The sequence below is a fragment of the Homo sapiens genome, chromosome 5 (assembly GCF_000001405.40).
Source record: "Homo sapiens chromosome 5, GRCh38.p14 Primary Assembly".
Taxonomy (NCBI): Eukaryota; Metazoa; Chordata; class Mammalia; order Primates; family Hominidae; genus Homo; species Homo sapiens.
This window is the reverse complement of record NC_000005.10, coordinates 93,538,014-93,563,047: the sequence shown is the minus strand read 5'-3', so window position 1 is coordinate 93,563,047 and position 25,034 is coordinate 93,538,014. Positions and strand designations below refer to the sequence as shown.

General features: G+C 35.9%; 1 long non-coding RNA gene across 54 annotated transcripts in view; it reads left to right on the top strand.

The window, feature by feature from the left end:
• The window catches only part of NR2F1-AS1 (NR2F1 regulatory antisense RNA 1), a 176,234-nt gene that overhangs the window by 22,542 nt on the left and 128,658 nt on the right, over positions 1-25,034 (top strand). For 30 of the 54 annotated variants that reach the window (NR_186217.1, NR_186221.1, NR_186222.1 and 27 more), the window contains 2 exons: positions 8,053-8,174; positions 9,185-9,287. The exons of 3 other annotated variants lie outside the window; for them this stretch is intronic. This is a non-coding gene — a long non-coding RNA (NR2F1 regulatory antisense RNA 1). Of the gene's footprint in view, positions 1-8,052; positions 8,175-9,184; positions 9,288-18,132; positions 18,254-19,023; positions 21,177-25,034 lie in introns of those variants that run through there. 21 more of the 54 variants (NR_186215.1, NR_186216.1, NR_186213.1 and 18 more) reach the window with 4 other exon arrangements.

Below are 25,034 nucleotides of genomic sequence, written 5' to 3'. Positions count from 1 at the left end.
ACACAGCCAGTACATAATTTGTAGCTGTGACTTACAATTCGTGGATACAAGGGGTAGAATTTTCTCTTACCAATGTTAGATTTGCATGATGTAAAAATTTGTTCATGTCCTGTTTTGAATGCCCAGTTCTTTAAGATTTTTCTGTATTTGATTCTTAGGAGAATTATGTGACCATTGTGCTTATTGTTCTCGAAGTATAGATATTCAACACATATTTATTGAGTTTTTATCATGCTTAAGGCATGTGGAGTAGATAAAGGCATACTCCCTGCCCCAATTACTATCCATAATAATTGATATGGTCTTTTGCTAATAATTTAACGGATTATATTTTCTTAATATAATGTATTCATGTGATTTTTATTAATATTACTATATTGGGACTTTAAGATAAAAAGAAAATATATTTAATTTTTCCTTGCTGTTCACTTTTTGAAAAAATGCTTGGAATTGAGGCTGGGTATGGTGGCTCACGCCTGTAATCCCAGCACTTTTGGAGGCTGAGGTGGATGGATCGCTTGAGCTCAGGAGTTCGAGACTAGCCTGGGCAACATGGTGAAACCCTATCTCTACAAAAAGAATACAATAATTAGCCCAGCTTGGTGGCATGTGCCTGTGGACCCATCTCCTTGGGAGGCTGAGGTGGGAGGATCACTTGAGCCGGGGAGGTCAAGGCTGCAGTGAGCTGAGATTGCGCCACTGCACTCCAGCCTAGGAAGCCTGGGAGATAGGAATTGTAATTTGGGGACAGCCTAAATTATAGTATTATTTAGTATGTATCTTAAATAAATAGAATATGGCATTTGCTAACTTTATCTTATTATTTTCTTTTCTTTTCTTTTCTTTTCTTTTTTTTTTTTTTTTGTAGAGATGGGTTTCATTATGTTGCCCAGGCTGGCCTTATACTCCTGGCCAGAAGCGATTCTCCCACCTTGGCCTCCCAAAGTGCTGGGATTACAGGTGTGAGCTATAACACCCAGCCATGTTTGCTAACTTTAAATCAGTACTTAAAAAAAATCTTAGAGTTTTTCTTAATACTTCAAAATATTTTGTTTAAATTAAATGTGTCAATTTAGTTATCTCCTTGCAAATAACATTGTTTTCTGAAAAGTGACCTTTATGTTGTTTAATTGAGCAAAAAGCACATTCATATTTCGAAAACTCAGCTAACAAAGTCTGTTTTAAAGTTAGGAACTACACTAAGAATAAAGGCAAAACATGTTTTCATAAATATGTATGTGTATAAATATAATTATAAAATTTGTTTTGTTTTTTTTTTGAGACAGGGTCTCTGTTGCCTGAGCTGGAGTGCAGTGGTGTCAACACAGCTCACTGCAGCCTTGACCTCTTGGGCTCAAGTGATCCTTCCGCCTCAGTCTCATATGGAGCTGGGACCACAGGCATGCGCCATTATGCCCAGTTAATTTTTTAATTTTTTGTAGAGACGGGGTCTCACTTTGTTGCCTGGACTGGTCTTGAACTCCTGGGCTCAAGCGAACCTCCCGCTTTGGCCTCCCAAAGTGCTGGGATTACAGGTGTGAGCCACTGCGCCTGGCCTGTTTTCATAAATATTAAAAAAAAATACCTATGTTTGGTCTTGACCATACATTAGCTTTGATGCTGATGCTAATATTGTTGAACTTATTATAGCATTGAACATATTTTTATAACTCACTAAAATTTTTAAAAAGATGCTAAGAATAGTTATCTCTTGCACAAGGAGAAGTGGGTTGTTGATATATTTTCCAACAAATTTGACCAGTGCAGATAGCTTTTTTATTTTTTTTTTGGAGATGGAGTTTCGTTCTTGTTGCCTGTGCGATCTCGGCTTACCGCAACCTCTGCCTCCGAGGTTCAAGTGATTCTCCTGCCTCAGCATCCCTAGTAGCTGGGATTACAGGCATGTGCCAGCACACCCAGCTAATTTTGTATTTTTAGTAGAGATGGAGTTTCTCCATGTTGGTTAGGCTGGTCTCGAACTCCCGACCTCAGGTGATCTGCCCGCCTCGGTATCCCAAAGTGCTGGGATTACAGGCGTGAGCCACCATGCCCGGCCATCAGATAGCTCTTTTAGATAAAGAGGTTAACAAAAATACCACCATTCTTTCCATAATAATTGCAGTCTTTCTGGACTTAATTGTGCAATTTCTTCTACTTCTTTATATGTAGATATAGGAGCAAATTTCAGTTCACAGGTATTGAAATTCATATGGGAATATAATTTGTATCTTTTGTAGATTGTTTGCATGATATAACAAGGTCCTTTTGAATTTGGTGATTTGTTAGGTTTTGCATTATTTAAATATTTCTCAAAAGAAGTATGTGAATTCAAAATATGTATTTTCTTCAATTAGCTGATTTTTGAGATGTATATTTTACAAGATTTATATTTAAAAGAGATAAACAAACACATCACTAGTTCCTGGTAGAAGGTTCAGTGGATTATACCATCCTATTTGAGTTAAATTCATATGACTCTAAATTGTAAAGGTAGTTTTTCTGGACTGGCTAAAGCTTACAAATTTGAGGGAATAAAGGAGTGGTATTGTAGAGCTTTGAAAGCTGCATACCAACTAATGTCAACGACAAAGCCAAAAGTCACTGAGATCCTGTTTGTATTTTAGTTCCAAGATTAGGTTTTGAATGTGTTTTGAGTTTTGACAAATAGTTTTAAAATTCGGAAAGTCCTACATTTTATAGTCAGGAACTAGCCAAAGGCAATATTTTGTGTACAGTATACGTGAACAAGACTTTTGTTCTTACATGAGCTTGCTTAATTATTTTTCCTACCCAAGAGAAGTGTAAAAAAATCCTTAATTTATAAACATTCCTTTTAATAAAAATAGTAAAGCCCTATTATTATTATTAATATCTGTTAAGCACATTTCATATATCATCTAATTTCTTCAGTTTTTATAAAATGTAAAACTACCATTTTATTGATGAAGAGTTTGAAGCTCAAACATGGTTAAGTAATTTGCTCAAGTCATATACAGGCATATTTTGTTTTATTGTGGTTCATTTTATTGTGCTTCACAGATACTACGTTTTTTACAAATTGAAGGTTTGTGGCAACCCTGTATAGAGTATGTCTATTGGTGCCATTTTTTCAACAGTATGTGTCACTTAGTGACTCTGTGTCATAATTTGTAAATCTCACACTATTTCAAACTTTTTCATTACTACAGTATCTGTTAGGGTGATCTGTGATCTTCGATATTAGTAATGTAATTGTTTTGAGGTGCCACAAATTGAGCCCGTTGAAGACAGCAAAGCTAATTGATAAATGTGTGTATTCTGACTGCTCCACTGATCAGCCATTCCTCTTTCTCTCCTTGGGCCACCCTATTCCCTGAGACACAATAAGATTGAAAGTGTTGTGCCAGTTAATAACGCTAAAATGGGCTTCAAGTGTTCAAGTGAAAGGAAGAGTCACACCTCCTTTACTTTAAGTCAAAAGCTAGAAATGATTAAGCTTAGTGAGGAAGGCATGTCAAAAGCCAACACAGGCCAAAAGCTAGGCCTCTTGTCAAACATCCAAGTTGTGGAAGCAAAGGAAGTTTTTGAAGGAAATTAAAAGTGTTATTCCAAGGAAAACACAAACAAAAAAGCAAAACAGTCTTATTGTAGAGAAATTGTGAGTGGTCTGGGTAGAAGATCAAACCAGCCACAATATTAGGTGAAAGCCTAATCTAGAACAAAGCCCTAACTCTCTTCGATTCTGTGAAGGTTGAGGAAGTTACACAGAAAATGACTGAAGCTAGCAGAAGTTGGTTCATGAGGCTTAAGGAGAGAAGTGGTTTCCAGAACATAAAAGTATAAGTAAGTATACAGCAAGTGTTGCTGTAGAAGCAATAGCAAGTTATCCAGAAGATCTAGCTAAGATCATTGACAAAAGTGGTTACAACAAACAACATATTTTCAGTGTAGATGAAATGGCCTTCTATTGGAAGAAGATGCTATCTAGGACTTTCATAGCTAGAGCAGAGAAGTCCAATGCCTGATTTCAAAGCCTCAAAGGACAGACTGATTCTTGTTAGAGGCTAAACCAGCTGGTGACTTTAAGATGAAGCCAATGCTCATTTGCCATTCCAAAAATCCTAGGGCCTTTAAGAATTATGCTAAATCTTCCATGCCTTTGCTTTTTAAACGGAACAGCAAAGTCAGGATGACAGCACATGTGTTCATCACATAGTTTATTGAATATTTTAAACCCACTGTTTTAGACTTGCTGCTTAGAAAAAAGATTCCTTTCAAACTATTACAGCTCCTTGACAGTGTACCTGGTCACCCAAGAGCTCTGAGGGAGATGTACAAGGAGATTAATATTGTTTTCATGTCTGCTAATACAACATCTGTTCTATAGCCCATAGATCAAGGAGTAATTTCAACTTTCAAGTTTTATTAATTAAGAAATACATTTTGAGTCTAAGAGTAGTGGCTCATGCCTGTAATCCCAGCACTTTGGGAGACCGAGGCAGGTGGATCACCTGAGGTCAGAAGTTTGAGACCAGCCTGGCCCACATGGTGAAACCCTGTCTCTACTAAAAATACAAAAAATTAGCTGGGCGTGGTGGCACACACCTGTAATCCCAGTTACTAGGGAGGCTGAGGCAGGAGAATTGCTTGAACCCAGGGGGTGGAGGTTGCAGTGAGCCGAGATTGCACCACTGCACTCCAGCCTGGGCGATAGAGCAAGATTCCATCTCAGAAAAAAAAAAAAAAAAAGAAATACATTTTATAAGGCTATAGCTGCCATACGTAGTGATTCCTCTGATGCATCTGGGCAAAGTCAATTGAAAGTCTTCTAGCAAAGATTCACCCTTCTAGCTGCCGTTAACAACGTTTGTGATTCATGGGAGGAGCTCAGAATATCAACATGGACAAGATATTGGAAGAAGTTGATTCCAACACTCATGGATGACTTTGAGGGGTTCAGGACTTTGGAGGAGGAAGTAACTGCAGATGTGGTAGAAATAGGGAGAACTATAATTAGAAGTAGGGCCTGAAGATGTGACCGAATTGCTGCAATTACATGATTAAACTCGAATGGATGAGTTGTTTCTTACGGATGAGGAAAAAAAAGTGGTTTCTTGAGATGGAATGTACCCTGGTAAAGATGCTGTGAACACTGTTGAAGTAATAACAGATTTAGAACATTATATAAACTTAGTTGATAAAGCAACAGCAGGGTTTGAAGGGATTGACTCCAGTTTTGAAAGAAGCTCTACTGTGGGTAAAAATGCTATCAAACAGCATTGCATGCCACAGAGAAATCTTTCATTAAAGGAAGAATCAATCAATGGGGCAAACTTTATTGTCTTATTTTAAGAAATTGCCACAGCTACCCAAACTTCGGCAATCACCACCTTGATCAGTCAGCAGTCATCAACTTCAAGGCAAGACTCTCCACTAGCAAAAAGATTACATCTCACTGAAAGCTCAGATGATCATTCACATTTTTTTTTTTAGCAATAAAGTATTTTAAAATTAAGGTGTGTACATAGTTTTTTAGACATAATGTAATTACATATTTAATAGACTTCATTATAGTGTAGACATAACTTTTATGTGCACTGGGAAACAAAATTTGTGTGACTTGCTTTGTGCAATGTTTGCTTTATTGCTGTGATCTGGAATTAAACTTGGAATATCTTCAAGATATGCCTGTAACTAGTGAGTGACAGAGCAAGGATTTGAATTGAAGTATGTGTTACTTCAGAGCCCATTCCTGGTCTATACCAATATTATTGCTCATCAAGTAACTCATTATACTATGTTTTGGTTGTATTATGGGTCAGATCACATTTTCACAGCATGAAAATTCACGAAGCAGCTCTACGCATTACCAAGAAAAATTTATATAACTTCATTTTACTCTCTTATCCTAATATCTATAGAATGATTACATTCTCTGATGTTTGATTATGTGATGCTGTCTGTATAAATGATACTATATAGGATGAAGGATGAATCATGTTTATTCTTAGAAGTTTTTGGCACTAGATTGGCTTAGCTATTAAATAGCACATTTGCTACCAGAGTGAGAAATGAATAGCAAGATATTTTTTTGATTTGTAATCTTACAAATGTTTTTGTTTTTAGTGACTTTCAGCAAAAGAAATCATGGTTTCCCTTAGTAGTTGTGTTATTTTGCTATGGTGGCTATAACAAAATACCACAAACTGGGCGACTGACTCAACAGAAATCTATTGTCTCTCAGTTCTGGAGGATAGAAGTCTGAGATCAAGGTGTTGGTTCTTTCTAAGGGGTATGAGGGAGAATCTGTTCCATGGTTCTTTGCTAGCTTCTGGTGGTTTGCTGGCAATCTTTGACATTTTGTGGCTTACAGTCTATCACTGTGATCTCTGCCTTCACATGGTGTTCTTCCTGTGTGCATGTCTGTCTCTGTGTCCAAATCTACCTCTTTGTAAGGATACCAGTCACATTGGATTAGGGCCCACCCTAATGATTTTGTCTTGATTATTTGCAAAGATCCTGTCTCCAAATAAGGTCACATTCACAGGAGTCGGAGGTTAAGGCTATAACATATTTTGGGGGGAAACAATTCAACCCATAGCAGTAGGCAACTTTTCTGAAGATAGATTCGAAAACTCTTTAGTAGTGGTTATATACATAAGTTTGTTTATCAAAACGTTGGAATAATGATATGTGCGTATGTCCATAAATGGGTCATGTATGAACATTTGCTTTGGAATAGGACTGACTTGCACTAGTCTGTTCTTATATAAAAACTGTAGGAAGAACAAACAGGAGAACTCCTGAAGATGGTTTTCAATAAATTAAATATGATTGGATGTAAAAATGTATGGAGCAGGTAATGCGTGTTTGAGATAAGTGTAACTGGTAGTACGATGAAGTTGAGATTTAGATGGGCATTCGGGGCCAGAGAGTGCTACAGAAGCAGAAAGAACATGGGATAAAGTCCTGATGTAGGAATAAATACTTTAGGGATAGTGAGCTGTGGTGGTGAAGAAGGCTTTGGGCTCAGTTATATTGTCAAGGGATCCTGGGTGAGGCTCTTTAGGGTTAATGCAAGTTTTAGCTATCACAGCTTCGAGAAATTGTTGTAGAATTTATTTTTAATTTTATTATGTAGAACATTTGGAATATATCAATGACAAGAAGAAAAACATGACCTCTAATGCTACTACTCATTATTAATATTTTCACATGTTGATATTCCTGTGTCAAATTCCTGCCACTTTTTAATTGAGATTATATTACATAAACAGTTTTCTAAAATAAATTAGTGTCTGTAGTATTGTCTAAATATGTACCTGGATTTGAGACTTAGTGGGTAACAGACCTAATGGTCATTGGTGATGAGTTGGGTCACCATAACTCCATATACCATTAGGTCAAGCCAGCTTTGTCTTGTGTGATTTAGTCCATTGCCTTCAGTCTTGTTCTTCCTCCCATCTTTCATACTGCTGCCAAGATCTTTTTAATGATCACTTCACTTTCCTGTCTTCACTCCTTTAGTCAGAATACAGGTTCAGCTTTTTAGCATATAAGTCATCTCCGTTATCTTTCTCCTGCCTTTGTCTTCTTATTTGCTGCTTTCCCAAAAAGCTACTTGAAATTCTCAGAATATTATGTGCCCTTTTGTACCTCCCTAACTTTTTACCTTATTTCCACTAAGAATGCTTTTTCTGTACTTGTCTCTCTGTCCAGCAGCAACTCATTCTTTAAAGCCAGTTTTTCCTTCCTTTTAGTATCTGTAGTACTTTCTATAAAACTTATTATAGAACTGGTTACAGAGTATTATAGTAGCCAGTTTTAACCTTAATTTCTTACTAGACTGAGTTATTTGTTCGGCTAGGCGTTGTAGAAATTGGAAACCAAAATGAAGAGGAACTTTAGGAGTTTGCAATCTAGTGGAAGACATCCAATTTTGGTGAGTTGGTGGGGGATGATAATGGAAAGCTGTTAAAGAGAATATGCTTGCTGCATGACCCATTAAAACAGAATTGTGACTGGAAATGTTTATATGGTGTCTTAAAATTAATGAATTTTATTTGTTTGCAGGTGGCAGTGGGCCTGCATCACAGGTTGCAGCAGATGTTCTCAATATTTCTATTAAAATTTCCTTATTTCCATATGCAAGAGGAGCCCCAGAGCTGCATCCTTATGGTAGCTACCATGCCGTGGTAGGTGATGTTGTACTTTTCCACATCATCCTTCCTGTGCTAACAGAGGATCTGGGTTAGAATCTAGCTGTTTGTTTTTGTAAACAACTATGGAGCACTGAAAGAAGAATGTTTCAATAATATCTAAATTGTGATTTCTTTGAGGTTATGTACTATGCCTTGTTATTTTTATACTTGTTCACAGAACCTCTAAATAGTGCCTTGCTCATCATAGGCACTTAACATTGTGATTTTGTTTTACTTATATCTAGTTTTAATGGCTTCTTATTAATTTTTAAGTTGTTAATCTAATTTCTTATTCTTCTAAATAATAAATAAGCATGTAACATTAATTTTACTTACAAACAATGTCTTCCAGTAATATTTTATCAGCTTCTCAGCTTTATGAAGGAGATTCAACTAGAAACTGATAAAATTCCATATCAGGAGTCAGTAGAACTATTTTATTGTAAAACCTCGGTATTAACAAGAATGAACACTGTAGCTAGTAACTAAAATATTTTTTCTTCATAAAAAATGGAAGTGTTTTTCAGAATTCTAGGAAATGTCAAAGTAATTTTGGCTGTAGTCATATTACATTTAATGGTATAGAGAATATTTCTAACATTAACAACAATATTCTGTAATTTCCTCAGTTATTGCTACTGGTGATGAGGGATATAAAGTTGGCATGCTTTCATGTTTTGAGCATCATCATTATATACTTCTGATTTTGCAAGTCAGAAACAATCTTCGTTTTAGTTAAGATAGCTGAGAACATTCTGAGGCAGGGGGTCAGGCTTTCATTATTTGCATATTTAGGTAAGTAATATATAGACTACAATGAATTGATCAGAGTAACTACATATATCATTTTTAATGAAAGAATCATACAGTATTTATACATTTCTGTGACTTTTTAAAAGTTTATCAGAATATGGTAGTTTGGGACCAAGGGCATAGGTTTTATTTCTGTATAGATCATTTTATTTTGTTATTTTCTGTGACCACTGGTAATAATCATCTTACAGATGTAAGCTGCCATTCACTGGGGAGCTTTGGCAATAGAATTGGCTAGATCAGGAAGCCTATGTCAACTATGGAACAACAACTTGCAGCTCATCTCTATTGATGGTGAGTCAGTGTCATCTTAATACATGAAGGATCATGTTAATGTTATTTTATCTTCGCAGCATTATCAAACAACAGTTTGTCTTAAACTTTGTTTTATGAGACATTATTGGAATGTTGAACCATGATGCTTCATTACTTGAACCCAAAGGACAACAAAGAAATCAGCACAACAGTGAAAAATAAAGGAAGTTATAATTTGTTATCTGTGAATATACTTAAAATTTGTTTGAGTAGCTTCTGTCATCTCCATTCTCATTCCTTATAACACATGCCAGCTAACTTGTAATTCATGACTCTTATTTGAATACATACTGATTAGAAAAGAGTGATATTGATCACATATGTTGTATACTTATTTTAAAAATATATTACTAGGCCAGGTGTGGTAGCTTATGCCTGTAATCCCAGCACTTTGGGAGGCCAAGGCGAGATCACTTGAGGCCAGAAGTTCGAAACCAGCCTGGCCAACATGTTGAAATCCTGTCTGTACTAAAAACACTTCACTTGGGAAGCTGAGGCACGAGAATTGCTTGAATCTGGGAGGCAGGGGTCGCAGTGAGGTGAGATCACGCCACTGCACTCCGGCCTGGGTGACAGAGCAAGACTGTGTCTCCAAAAAAAAAAAAAAAAAAAAGTGTATTACTGATATCAGGAAATTTCAGGAAAGATTCTCTTCCATTTTCAAATAGGTTATTTAGTCAGTCAATGGGTGGCCATCGTTAATGCTTGTTGCAAGTTTGCTATTCCAGAGACATAGTGCTTGACTTCTATATATTTAATATTACTACAAGAGTCAGTAGTATATCTACATAGCTATCTGCAGTTCAGGGTCAATATAATTTGATAGTATTTAATAATCATAACTTCATTTTGCTGTACTAATTACATTTATAATTTGACCAAATCTTATATAATCATGAAGTATATATACATATGTGTGTGTATGTGTAAGTAACTTGCTACAGTCACTTATGTTGCTTTGGCCCTCTTTATTCTAGTTGCTTTCACTTGAGTTATCACCATTGTCAGGTTGTCAAAGTAAATTTTCTTTACAGTCTTGCTTTGCTCGTGTCCTTTTTTTTTTTTTTTGTAATTGTTATTATCTTTCAATTTTTCTTCTTTACAGTATAAACAAATCCCAAGGTCAAAAATTTGTAGGACTGATGCTCACTGAAGTCAAAACTACTTTTAGTTATGAGGAAGAGGATCCTTATCCTACAAGTACATGACATCACCTGATTATAACTAGCCTAACCATCAATATGAAATGTTTTTGAAAGAGGCTTCTGGCAGCCTTTTCCCTTACCACCCAACATGTAACATGTACTTCTTACATGTTAAACCCCAGTTAAACTGACTAGCTTGTATTTATCCTACCATGATAAGGTATTTTGCACTTTTGGCTTCATTCATATTCTCGTTCTTACCATTATAGTCTTTCCTCTTTGCTCCCTGATAGGTACCAACTTTCATTCAAGATTGAGCTTGGTGAACACTTTGAAGTCCTCTACTGACCTCTGTCACTGACATTTCCAAGATATAGATCTCTTCTAGAGCCTGTATTTCATTGTTCTTATTTACTTATGTCTTCTTCTTACTAGACTGTAGATTTCTTAAGGGCAAGTACAAAGACTATGTTTTAAATTCATCTTTATATCCCCAATTTCTAGCATAATACCTGGCAAGAGTAGGAGCTTAATGAGCATTTGTGGAATGAATGAATGAATAAGCTAAATAGGAAAGAAAAGGTGATTCTAGCAGTTGGTCTGATAATGGTGATAACGTGAATTCCCAAGTGGAGTGCTGCTACGCTTTTCAGGGAATATTCAGTGTGGAAAACAGTATCTTTCCCAAGGTCTCACCATAATTATACTAGTTTCTTGGAGTCAATGTATAATGTGTGTCTGGAATTTTGTTATTTTGAAAAACCAAGCATTTATTATTGGAAATTTACCCACAAAGTTTATACAGCTGAATTTAAAAAATAAATATTAGATTTCAATAATGAGTATAATGGAACTTAAGAACTCTATTACTTTCCCTAAGGAGATCTTGTCTTATAATCAGTCTAAAGTTGGAAAAGGACCCTTCTGCTTGAAAATTATGAAGAGTAAATCAAAGGAGGAGCCCATTTGTTATCATATTTAAAGTTCAATTTACTTTAAAGCTGTGTAGTTCTGTGTCATGCAGTGCTGATGAAAAAGCTTATAATGGCCAATATTGTCAGAATGGCACATTCTTACATGGCTCAGTAGTTTACACTTTGAAAAACACTCATTTATCACATTACCCCTTTAGTAATATGTCAGGCTATAAGTTGATTTTATATTTTGTCTATTTACTGAGATTTTATTAATTAGAGGTTAAATGTTCTTTGACTATTGTATTATAATATAGTTTTAACTGAGGAATTACAATGAAGATACTAAAAGGAAGCTTAAGGTTTCTGGTATTAACTAGGTTCTGTTAAATGATTTTACTTGTTTTAGAATATATAGAAATATACTGAGTTAGAATGAGTGGCGTATTTTCTAAATAATTCAAATAAAATGGGGAGAGAGAGGAGGAGATTGGAAGGAATGAAATTTTCCTGTTCAAGCTGTAAACACTAAAACCTTTAATTTTGTAGGAAGACATTATATACTCTGGTCATTCAACTTGTGTATCCTTAGTCTATTTAGTAGTCAAAAACTTCTAAGTAAATATGTGTGATTTAATTTGTGCTGCTGAGAAACAGTGATCAAAAATGGCAATAAAAGTCACATAACGAAATAAGAATACTAAAAAAAAAAAAACCTAAGAATTTTACTGTGTCCCATTCTTCATTCAATTTCTGGCAGCCTTCATGATTACAAATCACTTGATTAACTAACTAGACATTATCAAAGTGAATTATGAATCAGGTTCATTTTTCCTGGTTGATAGTTGACACATGCTGTAACTTTCACTTTGTGATATATCAAATTCTTGTAACAGTAATAAGAGATATAATCAGCTCTTTATTTCAGGAAAACTACATTGCCTTTTAAAAAAATGAAATGCACTTGCTAACATTTTAACAACACAATGTAATTCCTGCCTTCGGATTTCAGGGTGGAATCCACAGTGATGATGTTATTTTTCAGATTAAAAAAAGTCTTTAGAATGATTTTCTGACAGGCATAAAACTGTTGATATCAGTTCTATAGGCTGCCTGGGCAGTTGCCTGAGCCTAGTTGCAAAACAGTTAGATTTTCTCTTCTTCTTATTTAAAAAATGCGTGATAGAGAAATTGTGCATTTTTAAAACATTTTCCTTGGAAGGAAATGTAGTTTTCCCTAAATACCCAATTTGCAATGAGGCCATGATGTTGCAAACTTAAAAATGTGGAGCATTCTAATGGTTATTAATAGGGAGGGTCTCTTTTTGAGTAGGGAAAAGGGCCCATAGTGACCTGAATCTTGAGTATTTCCATTCGTTAAACCGAATGAAGGGGGTCAACTCTGCTTTCAAATATATTCTGCTCTCTTTTGACTTAATAAGAATTCTTCATGCATAACTCTACTGGCAACTGAGTAGTAGAAAATTCCTTTAGTATAACTGTATTTTCTTTAATCCCATTTATCCAAGTGATTGAAAATAAAATGGGCACTCTTTTTTTTTTTTAATTATACTTTAAGTTCTGGGATACATGTGCAGAACATGCAGGTTTGTTACATAGGTATACACATGCCATGGTGGTTTGCTGCACCCATTAACCAGTCATTTACATTAGGTATTTCTCCTAATGCTATCCCTCCCCTTGCCCCCAACCCCTCGACAGGGCCCCGGTGTATGATGTTCCCCTCCCTGTGTCCATGTGTTCTCATTGTTCAGCTCCCACTTATGAGTAAGAGCATGCAGTGTTTGGTTTTCTGTTCCTGTGTTAGTTTGCTGAGAATGATGGTTTCCAGCTTCATCCATGTCCCTGCAAAGGACATGAACCCATCCTTTTTTATGGCTGCATAGTATTCCATGGTGTATATGTGAAAATGGGCGCTCTTTAATGTGATTGATATATTAAGAATTTGAGAATCCTGCACAAAATTCAGTCTTGAGAATCCTGCACAAAATTCAGTCATTCCCTTAGTAAAAGTGAAGTCACTTCACTGAAAATTCTCATGCATGGGAATGTAGGGCCTGAACTGTGTGTCATTATGAGATCCTCTTACTAATTAAAAAAATTGTATATGAGAAAGTAATTCTGTGTTTCTCATGAAGGCAGACTCATCAAAAGTTAATGGAAGCTTTGTGTATATAAGGACCATAGAATTGTACTGCTTTACTTACCCCCATGTAAAAGCAGAGTAATTAGTACCTCAGAGTTTCAGTGCCTTTCCCCTTACTTTCTTTGTTTTCCTTTGTGAATAAGATTTATTCTATTAGAGCTAAAAATTGTTTTCTTGCTATTTCATTGTCTTTATAAGGATATATTTTATAAAAAATCCCTTCTGAGTAATATTCTGAATTTATATGAACGTATAGAATAGCAATGTGTTGTTACACATAGTTGTATAAACATGGCAATTTTTTATCTTAGTATTTTGTTCTCTTTAAAATTATCTAAAGTTCTTGAATTTATGCTTTGGCTACCTTGAAATTTAATTTTCAATCCCCTAACACTATTAATTTTATGCTTAGTAGTTAAAATTGCTATTAAACATCTTTTATGGGATTAAAGTCTTATTCATGATTAGGCAATGAATTATATATATAATCAGTTATTACATTCATTTAAAAATTATGACTATTAATCCTCCAAATATGTTTTTAACATATGTTATACCCTGGTATAATTGAAATTAAGGAATTAGAAATGGAGAGACAAAGCATCAATTTACTTGTTTATTTTTTATGTATTTATTTTTCTTGAGGCAGATTCTCACTCTTATCATCCAGGCTGGAGTGTGGTGGCATGGTCTTGATTCACTGCAACCTTTGCCTCCCGGGTTCAAGTGATTCTCCTATCTCAGCCTCCCAAGTAGCTGGGATTACAGGCATGTGCCACTACACCCAGTCAATTTTTTTTTTTTTGTATTTTTAGTAGAGACAGGGTCTCACCATGTTGGCCAAGCTGGTCTCGAACTCCTGATCTCAAATGATCCACCCACCTTGGCCTCCCAAAGTGCTGGAATTACAGGTGTGAGCCACCGTGCCTGACCCAGTTTATTAATTATAGAAAAAAACTTTAAGTCTTTTTTAACTTTAGTAGGTTTTGTGAGAAAACCATAAACTGAACTGGAGCTGTAAAATAATGCCATTCTCCAGTCTGACTCTGTACTTTCTACGTTTTGACATAGCTGGACATTTGGAATCTAGAGGCATTGTTGTTCTTCTGTAGACATACTGAGGTAAACGATATATGGTAAAATGGGCTTTTGTTGCTGTGACTAGACCATAGATGTGGGAATGAAAGAAGAGCAGGGGAAAGCAGGAGACAGAAAATATTTTTTTTTGACCACATAAATTGATTGAATTAGCTTGATTGTTTATATTGATTAAATAGATTGCTAGGTTGTTTCCATTTGTGATGTACAACTTGATGCTTAATTGCTCCCATTGAGCAATTTAGTAATAGGACAGTCATTGAGAGAGGAAATGAAATATCTGGAGATTTCCTTCAGGAAAACTGAAGGAAAATATTTAAGAAGGAATTTCTGGTTTTTGCTTTTCTAAGTAAGTGTGTAAAGTGGTCAGGATGTCCAGTATAAATAAAATCTGCCAGCCTTACGTTCCACGATTTTTATTTTAACCCTTGACACTGATTCTCTCTCCCTTTTTCCGATTGACATGTGCAAGACAATAACATTTGCATTTTTGTAACATGGTCCAAGTGTCTCACATTACATAAATTTATATTGTATTTGTCAATATCATTGACACCAATATCATCATATCACCAACATTACATTGGTATGCCTATTCTAGTTTTGTATGTTAACACTGACATTTTCTATTCTGGTGATATAAACAGGTTTTAAATAGTATCTGGTATATTAATATTTATGGCCCTTTTGAATATTTCTGGTTAAATCCTTCCTTGGCCTGGATTTGGTTAGTTCTTTATTTCTCTTGCTTAGGCATATGCTAAAAGTTGGAACTACAGATTAATAGGTATGGAGTACAGAATTATGATATCTTTTTATTACATAAGCACTAAAATAGCATAAGTGTATTTTGTATTATTCTAGGCCTCCTTGCTGTTGATATTATAGATAATATGTAAAATAATTCTTTTAGATCCCCCTTTTAATTGGATTCAATGATATTTGGTTTTGATTCTGAGAAATGTATACATTATTATGCAAAGAGATTCAAGGGACATGGACATTAATGGTGATAGATGTTGGCTGGAATCAGTAATTTTATATTGATATCAAAGAAGAACATAAAGAAGGCATTGTTTTAGTTAAAACTAATGGTCTACAGCGACATGTAATAGCATTTAGTACATTCTACTTTTGATGTCTACCTAGTACTTTAAAGCCTCAAATAATGTACACTTTTGTTGGTGTATCAGTCAGTGTTCCCCAGAGGAACGGAACCAATAAAATACATATATATGCATATACATATGCATATGCATATACATACACACACCCACGCACACACATATATGATTTATTTTAAGAAATTGGCTCACACAATTGTGGGGACTGGCAAGTCTGAAATCTGTAGGGCAGGCTGGCAGGCTGGAAACTCACACAGCAGGTGATGCTGCAGTCTTAAGGCAGAATTTCTTCTCATCCAGGACCCTCAGTTTTTGCTCTTAAGGCCTTCAACTCATGGGATAAGATCCACTCACATTATTAAAAGTTAATCTCTTTTACTTAAAGTTAGCTAATTGTAGACATTAACAACATCTACACAACACTTCACAGTAACATCTAGGTTAGTGTTTGATTAAATAAGTGAGTACTATAGCATAGCCAAATTGATCCATAAAACTAACCATCACAGTTGGTCATTCTCCCCCATCCCCCATTATTTATGTCACAAGTCACAGAAATGGCTAGTGTCAAACTGTCAAACTATCATCAAAGAATATATTAGGCAACTTCCTTGAAACGAAAACGATCAATTCCAGAGATAATAGCTGGCATCCATTTGTTCATTAACAAATATTTATTGAATGCTCTGTATGTGCCAGTAATGAAAAAAAATGACATGCAAAAGCACTTATGGACCCTATTCTTTTGTAGTTTACTGATTAGAGTTGATGCCTAGGAAAGAGGCAAAATGTGGTTGTTAACCCAATGAAAAAACCATTTCCCTCTGACTTGCTTCATGTAAATTTTTATTACATAAATCTTATGATAATTGCAATGTATAAAATAGTCAACCTTCTCTTTAAATAATTTATATTTCTTTGATATTGCTTTCTAGAAATTTTTGAGAAGAGTTTTGGAAAATTTTGATATTTGAGTTCATTGAGTATTTGAAGCACCATGCCCTTTATTTAATCTATAAGTAGAAACTCCTCTCCTTCTGTGTCAGTTTACATTGCCTTTCTGTTTATTGCTCAGTCCATGTACAGTAGTAATAATAATTCTTTCGGTTAAGACTTCTTATATGCTAGATACCTTACAAACCTTCTCTCTGATTCCTGTATTCATAGTTTCATTTTAGAGAGGAGGAAACTGAAGTTCGGAGAGGTTAATTAACTTGCCCACAGTTATACAACCACTAAGTGAAGGAGCAGGAACTCAAACTCAGTCTGTCCGAATCTGAAGACCATGATTTTTTCCTATCCCACTCAGGTTGTCTCTATATAAAACTTCTTAGCAAGGCTCCTGGATCCCTTGGGATAGCCTCTTGTCTGTGTAAAGAGATTCCTAGACTTCCGTGGATGAAATTTCCTATGATCTCTTTTGGTAACGACAAGTGAATTTATTTGACTGACTTTGTCTCCCAAGTAGTATGAGAATTATTATGTGAATTATGTGGGTAGAATGAAATGTTTAACAACTGAGGTTAAGGCAAAATTAATGAAATTAACAACAAAAGAAGAGTAGGTTAAGTAGGTGCTAGGAAAGTATTACAGTGTATCCAGGCTTGGGCCAAAAAATGACTAATGTTTAAAGAAATGCACAGCAGTAAAAGTGTGAGAGAAGGAAGAGAAAAAGAGCAATTTGCCTAAGAGGCAAAAGTGTGGATTAATGCCCACCTACTGCCTTTTATTACTTAATAGAAGTTTAGCATAGAGTAAAATGAATTTGGCCTTAGAGATAGTGGATGTTTCTATTTTGTGACTCTTCCAAAACATTAAGTCATTTTGTGGTACAGAAACACTAATAGCTGGGAATAGTTACAGAGATACTTAATGCTTGTCAAATAACCAAGTACTCCTCTATTTTTCTAGCCACTTTGTAGGGTGATGGGATTGTGGGGGACTGGGGGTAGGTCACCAGTACTTTATGGTGTATCCACAAAATAGCAGAACCTCTGTCAGCCTTGGTTCTTAAGTGAATATGAAGTATAAACCCTCATTGATGAATTTTGTGCACATAGCATTAAGTGAGAAATAAATTTTTGTTGTACTAAGCCGTGGACATTATGGGATGTTTGTTATTAAACGGTGTAACCCATCTTAACTCTATAGGGACTTAAGTGTTCCTCCCTGCTTCTGGCCCTGCTAAACTGTCCTCACACTGCTCCTACTAAGTCTTTAATATCCAATCCATCTCTTCATGTATACTTTTTCTTATCAAAAGCCCCCCATAGGTGCAAACTCTTTGTAGTCATTCTTATAATTTCTGATATCATTGATGTTATTAGATTAGACGTACCTACAGAATAACTCTTTTTTTTTTTTTTTTTTTTTGAGATGGAATCTCGCTATGTCACCAGGCTGGAGTGCAGTGGCGCAACCTCGGCTCAGCGCAACATCCGCCTCCCGGGTTCAAGTGATTCTCCTACCTCAGCCTCCTGAGTAGCTGGGATTACAGGTGCACCACCACGCCCAGCTAATTTTTGTATTTTTAGTAGAGATGGGGTTGCATCATGTTGGCCAGGATGGTCTCGATCTCTTGACTTTGTGATCTGCCCACCTCGGCCTCCCAAAGTGCTGGGATTACAGGCGTGAGCCACTGCACCCGGCCGAATAACTCATTTTTTTGCATGGCTATTACAAATTACTAACAATTACTCTAATTTTATATTTAAGATTAAGACTTTAAGATTAGGATTTCATATAATTTATTAAGATTATTGGAAATTCTTCAGAGTATGCTGCCTGGGGACTCAAAAATAATAGCAGGCTGTGTAAAGTCAACTATTTTGAGATGTCTGTTTCTTCTCCAAGATTAAATTATATAATGTGCCAACCCATATAATTATATATTCTATGGCATAATAGAATCCATGCTAGTTTTTATAATAATTTAGCGTTAATGAAAGTTTCTGTCTTCTAATGATTATGCAACTTTTGACAAATGACTGTAATGCACCATTTGCCTTTTTGTCTTGGCTGCCTGTGAGCTCATTGTGAAAATTAGTTTTCACTTTTATTAATTTCCTGATCTATGGTTCCTCATATAATCATGTTCTATATTTGTTCATTTAATTACTGAGTTCCCACTTATCTTTAGTTTTAAATTAACTTTGTATAAAAATATTTTATTTTATTTTTTGAGCTAGAGTCTCAAATATTTTCATTTCTTAGGTCCTGTTAAGTACTTAGTCCCTCCTTTCCCATTTCTCTTTTCTTGCTTTGCAGGAATCTAATGACCATTGAACTGTGGCCATGACTTCAATTACAAGTATTTTCTTCACTAATGTCAGACTGTGGGCCTTTGTATATACACTTTTAACAAACTTTTTGGAAGTGCAATACATATCGCAACAACTTCTCAATGCTGAATCATAGTATTGGAAGACATTTTAAGCAACAATTAAACTCAACTTATTTACTACCAATAATGTACATAAGTCAGCTGAAGTGAGGATAACATGAATAGCACAAATACATTATGATTGCTGCCTGGCCAACAGTAATTATAAGAAACTGTCAGTTTTGAGATGTGTCTTGATTTCAGAGATGTTAAAAAAGTTTGTAAGTTACCATTGATAAAATATGAGTTTGCTTCCACAAATATTCTTTCTTCTGTCCTTCTGGAACTCAAGAGTAAACATATATTAGATTTTCTCACCATTTCATGCATGCTGGTTCCTAGGCTACTCTCTGAGTCATTTTTTTTTTCTTATCTGCCCTCCAGTTCACTAGTTCTGTCATTTTCTGGGTCTGATCTGCTGCAAATGCAATACATTGAGTTTTAAATTTCAGTCATTGTGTTTTCATTTCTAGAAATTTCATTTGACTCTTTCTCAAATTACTTTTCCATTTTTTTTGTAGTTTCCTATCCCTGGAGATATTTTCAATCATGCCATTTAATTTTTTAAATACGCAAGTGTAGTTTTATAATTTGTGTCTGATAATTCTAATATCTGAAGTCTTAGTAGGTCTGTTTCAGTTGTCCTGTAATTATGCATGTTTTTGCCCATGTTGCTTTGTTTCCTTGTATGCTTGGTTATCTTTCTTACTGCCCTTGCAAAATTATTTGGAGAGTCCTGGAGGCTTAAATGAAGATAACTTTTAGGAATAATTTGCATTTGCTTTTGCCGAGGATCTTGGGATCATTTCAACCAAAATCTTAGCTTGAAATTCCGCAATCAATCAAGGTGATGAGAACCTGGTCAGTAAATCCTAATGAGGGCCAGGCTGTGGCCAAAGATTTTTAGACAGATGTTTCCCTCCTTTGCCATTTCTCTTTTCTTTCCTCCTCTGCTCCTCTTAGTGTCCAGACAACCTTCATGGAAGTCCTTGGGGTGGGTGGGAAATGAGGACGGCAGGTTTCATTCTAGGTATAGCCCTTTGAGGTCTAACTTAATGCAGAGAGAGTTTTCTGGTCTATGTGCCACCTTACATGGGATCTTGAGCCTTGATTTCTAAACCCCTTGCCTTTGATGTTTCAGAATTGAAGCTTAAATTTGCCAACAGGCAAATGTCCTCAAGGCAAATTGGCTTAGGTGTTCGATATTCTTCTTACCAGAAAGGTAAACTTGGGTTTTTTACTTCACCCAGGATTTGGCATGACAGTTCCCCATTATCTTGTCAGCTTAGTGCTTTAAGTGATTGCATTTAAAAAAATTCTGCATTTTCAGTTTTTAGCAGGAGGAATGGCCTCAACTAGTGGTTTTCAACTGGGGATGATTTTTTTCCCCTAGGGGACATTTGATAATGTTTGGAGATGTTTTAGTTGTTAGAACTGGGGTTGGGGGAACTACTGTCATCTGGTGGGGAGAGACCGGCAATGCTGTTGATCTTACTATAATGCACAGGCCACCCCCAACAACAAACAAATTACATAGCCCCAAATATCAATAATGCCAAGGTCCAAATAACCTAACCTTCCATTACTGAAAATAGAAGTTCAAGAAGATAGTTTATAATTTAAAAATTTTTAGGTCTTAATAAGTTGTCATACTTTCACAGGTTTTATTTCATACTAAGTAATTTATTTCAAATTTTACATTCCAATTACAGAAAATTTTCTAAGCCAGTTTTTGTTCTTCATGAGTATTACTATCAAGGTCACATTTTTCATCTAGTATGTTTTACCCTGGTACTTGTTGGCAGGGTCAGGACTAAGGTGAGATGCGCAAGGCATTTGCCTCACACAAAATGCACAATGAATAAAATGTCAAAACTTTAAATAAAGACAGAATCACTAAAAGTACTTTGCCATATTGGAACCTGAGGCAAAAAGAAAAATAAGTAATAATATTTAAAATTTTGATCTCTTGTTCATTGTAGATTTTTACATTAATTTTGATTGTTTAAAACATTGCATTAAAATATTATTTAATGTGTTTGCTGAGTTTTTTTTTGACACCCCCTTAAATTTGCACCAATGTGAGTGTCTTGCTTTCCTTATTTGATTCCTGCCCTGCTTGTTATTGAGTCAGTCTGGTTGGGTAGCTCATACAGGATGGAGAGGCCAGGGCTGACAATAGGTTTCATTTCTCAAGCAGGACAGGTGGAAAGGTTGCTGTCCTAATAAAGGGGTAGTGGAAGGTTTGAGGGACAATGGTGCTGATGTTCAAATTTTCGATTATATCCAGTTATACTTTGAGTAAAAACTGTTGTTCAGGGGATCCAGGGTAAAGTTGCAAAGTCCCCACAGGTATACCAACCAAGCAGTAAGAAACTGAGTTGGTGATTCCAATTTAAGAGAGCAGTCATATAGGAAGAAGTCCATTGATACATTTAGGGAGGAGGCATAGCCACTAGGTTTAAGACCACAGCTATCAGGATTAGGGTTATTGATTTCCATTGAGGGAGACTGAAAGACCATGGCTTAACATACTGTTGTTCCCAGGAGGAAAAAGTATAGTGAGAACTCATTTATTCTGACTGGAATACAGGAGAGGCAAAGGAAGCCTCAGAAACTTTATGGTGGGCCTGCTTATCACATGGGAGGAGTGAAGCTTGGGAGACACCATGGAAACCAATTGATTGTATTTACCATTCTCACCTCCTTCCAATTTACCCCTCCTACCTCAATGTGGTGAAAGACCAAATGGTAAGAGACACATGAAGTGTGCTTTAAAGCAGTTGTGTATTTCTTACCTCAGTCAAAATTAACTCAAATACAAGGGTAGGACAGAATCTGCAGGTAGAAGGTGACACTTAGAGGTGGTTAGGGAAACCTGAGGCAGGAGAAAAGAAAAAGTGAGGGCTAACGTTGGAAAGTGTTTTGAAGCATTAATTTTTAAACTGTTATAAGTAAAAAGTCATTTTCTTCTATCAAACCAGTAATATGTGTGTCATCATAAGCACTCATGTACTTGCACAGTAGAACGGAGTGACCATTTTTTTGTATTGGTGTTCCCATGCTTTTTCTCCCCCAGAGTCTCTCAATTTCAGCTGTACCACAATTTTATTGTATTTTCCAGTGGCAAAGTGTACACTTGTGTGTGTTTTTTTGTGTGTGTGTTTTAAATTTTTTTTGAAGGGAAAAATTCTTCTTTATCTTGGCTTGCACATTTCTAGGATATGTTCCTGTTTTAGATTTTTAGCACAACTCCACTAAAACCATAACAGGTCACTTTTGAATTAAGTGTCAAAAATCATGTTAAAACTACCTCTATCTATTTGCATTATAGAGGAAACACTGAAGGCTTCAAAGCAATTTTTAGTGCTGGAATGTCAGAAAAGTAAATGGATGCTGGCAAGCAGATAAGATTCCATGAGAATAGCCCCTTGAGCCTATTGGGTGAAATACTAGAGCTGCAAAGAATGATGGGCTTTGCAAGCAGAGTGAGCTACAGCCCTTGAAATACAAAGAAAGAAAAGGAAACAGAAACCAGAAACATCTTTTTGGAGAACAGATCTCAGGACTACTCTGAAAGATCTTACTTTTTTTCTTTTTAAACAGGTGACAGACACTCATCAGACATATTCCTTCCATTCAAAGAGAGTATTCAACATTAGTGATTCTCTATTTTCTTTTTCATGACACATTTATCCCCAGATCCCCAAACAACATCATTTTTGCATATTTATAAAACCAGTGACAACTGTAGTATAAAATTTTTGAAATGATACTGGTGATGATTTTAAAACATTGAGAATAAACTGATCACATAGAAATTTATTGAGTTAATCAAGATCCCTGAGTTGCACTTGTGGTCATGAGGCATATTCTAGGAGCCAAGTGATTTGCTTTTTTGTTGTACATGGTAGGCTTATCTTGGGCTAATTCACATAGGTTGTCTTAGTATCTTGAGACACTGACACTGCTTTATTTTTTATTCCTTTCTGTCTCTTATTTAGTTAAATTAAAATTTAATTGACACATTATAATTATATATGTTTATGGGGTACAATATGATATATTTGTTGTATAATCATCCAATCAGGTTACTTAGTGTATCCATCATCTCATACCTTTATCATTTCTTTGTGGTGAGAACAGTCAAAGGCCTCTCTTCTTGCTGTTTGTAATAGAGAATACCTTAATGTTAACCATAGTTACCTTACTGTGTAATAGAACACAAGAATTTTTTCCCCTTGTCTAATTGTAACTTTGCACCCATTGACCAACCTCTTCCCATCCTCCATTCCCTCCTTCCCCTGATCCCTCTCCAGTCTCTGGTAACCACTGTTCTCTCTGCCTCTATAATTTTTTTTGAAGATTCAGCATATGAGTGAGATCATGTGGTATTTGTCTTTCTGTGTCTGGCTTATTTCACTTAACTTGATGTCCTCCAGGTTCATCCATGTTGTCACAAATGACAGGATTTTATTTTTTTAATGGACGATTAGTATTCCATTATGTATATATACCACATTGTCTTTATCCATTCATCTGTTGTTGAATACATAGGTTGATTCCCTATCTTGGCTATTGTTAAGTAGTGCTGGAATAAACATGGGAGTGAAAATGTATATATATTTTTTTGATATGGAGTCTTGCTCTTTCACCCAGGCTGGAGTGCAGAGGCGCAATCTCAGCTCACTGCAACCTCCACCTCCCAGGTTCAAGCGATTCTCCTACCTCAGCCTCCTGAGTAGCTGGGATTACAGGCTCACACCACCACTTCTGCCTAATTTTTCTATTTTTTGTAGAGATGGGTTTCGCCATGTTGGCCAGGTTGGTCTCGAACTCCTGACCTCAAGTGATCCGCCTGCCTCGGCCTCCCAAAGTGTTGGTATTACAGGCATGAACCACTACGCCTGGCCCAGATGTCTTTTTGATATACTGATTTGCTTTCCTTTGGATATACAGTAATCCTCCCTTAACATTGTCTATAAGTTCTTGGAAACTGACTTTAAGTGAAGTGATGTATAACGAAACCAATTTTTTCAAAGGCTAATTGATAGAAACAAGGGGCAGTTCCTATGGTATATTTCTGATTATAAAAACATCACTAAACTTCTAAAGACCCACATTTCTAATACTAAACATTGAAATAAATGTGAATTACATGTATATTTAAGAAAGATTAATAAAAACAAGATAATTATTTACTCATCTTTTTGTGAATCAGTGAGTGACAGTGGCTGTAGTGGCAATGCATTAAATCAAGGAATAAATGTTTGTAAAGAAAAATTATAAGAAGTATTTCCTACAACTGTTAGGTTCAAAAACAATCACAAATATGGTGGGCATGCTCAACACTTTCGTGCAGCATTGTTTGTTGTTGTACATTTGTGTGATTATTGTATATTTTGTGAATATTTATTTATTTAATTATTAATTTTTGAAACAGTCTCACTCCCATCACCCAGGTTGGAGTGCAGTGGCGCAGTTATGGCTCACTGCAGCCTCAACTTCCTGGGTTCAGGTGATCCTCCCATCTGAGCCTCCCGAGCAGTGGGGGACTACAGGCCCATGCCACCATGCATGGCTAATTTTTTGTATTTTTAGTAGAGATGGAGTTTTACTATATTGTCCAGGCTGGTCTTGAACTCCTGAGCTCAAGGGATCTGCCTGCCTCAACCTTCTAAAGTGCTGGGATTATAGGTGTGAGCCACTGTGCCCAGCCATGACTTTTTAATTTAAAATAATTTGTATTCATTCATTCATTCATTTTCCAACCCATTATGCCAGTTCAGGGTTGTATGTGGCTGGAGTCCATCCCTGCAGCTCAGGGCACAAGGAAGGAACTAGCCCTAGACAGGACACCATACCATTGCAAGGCTCACTCACACACACCCATACT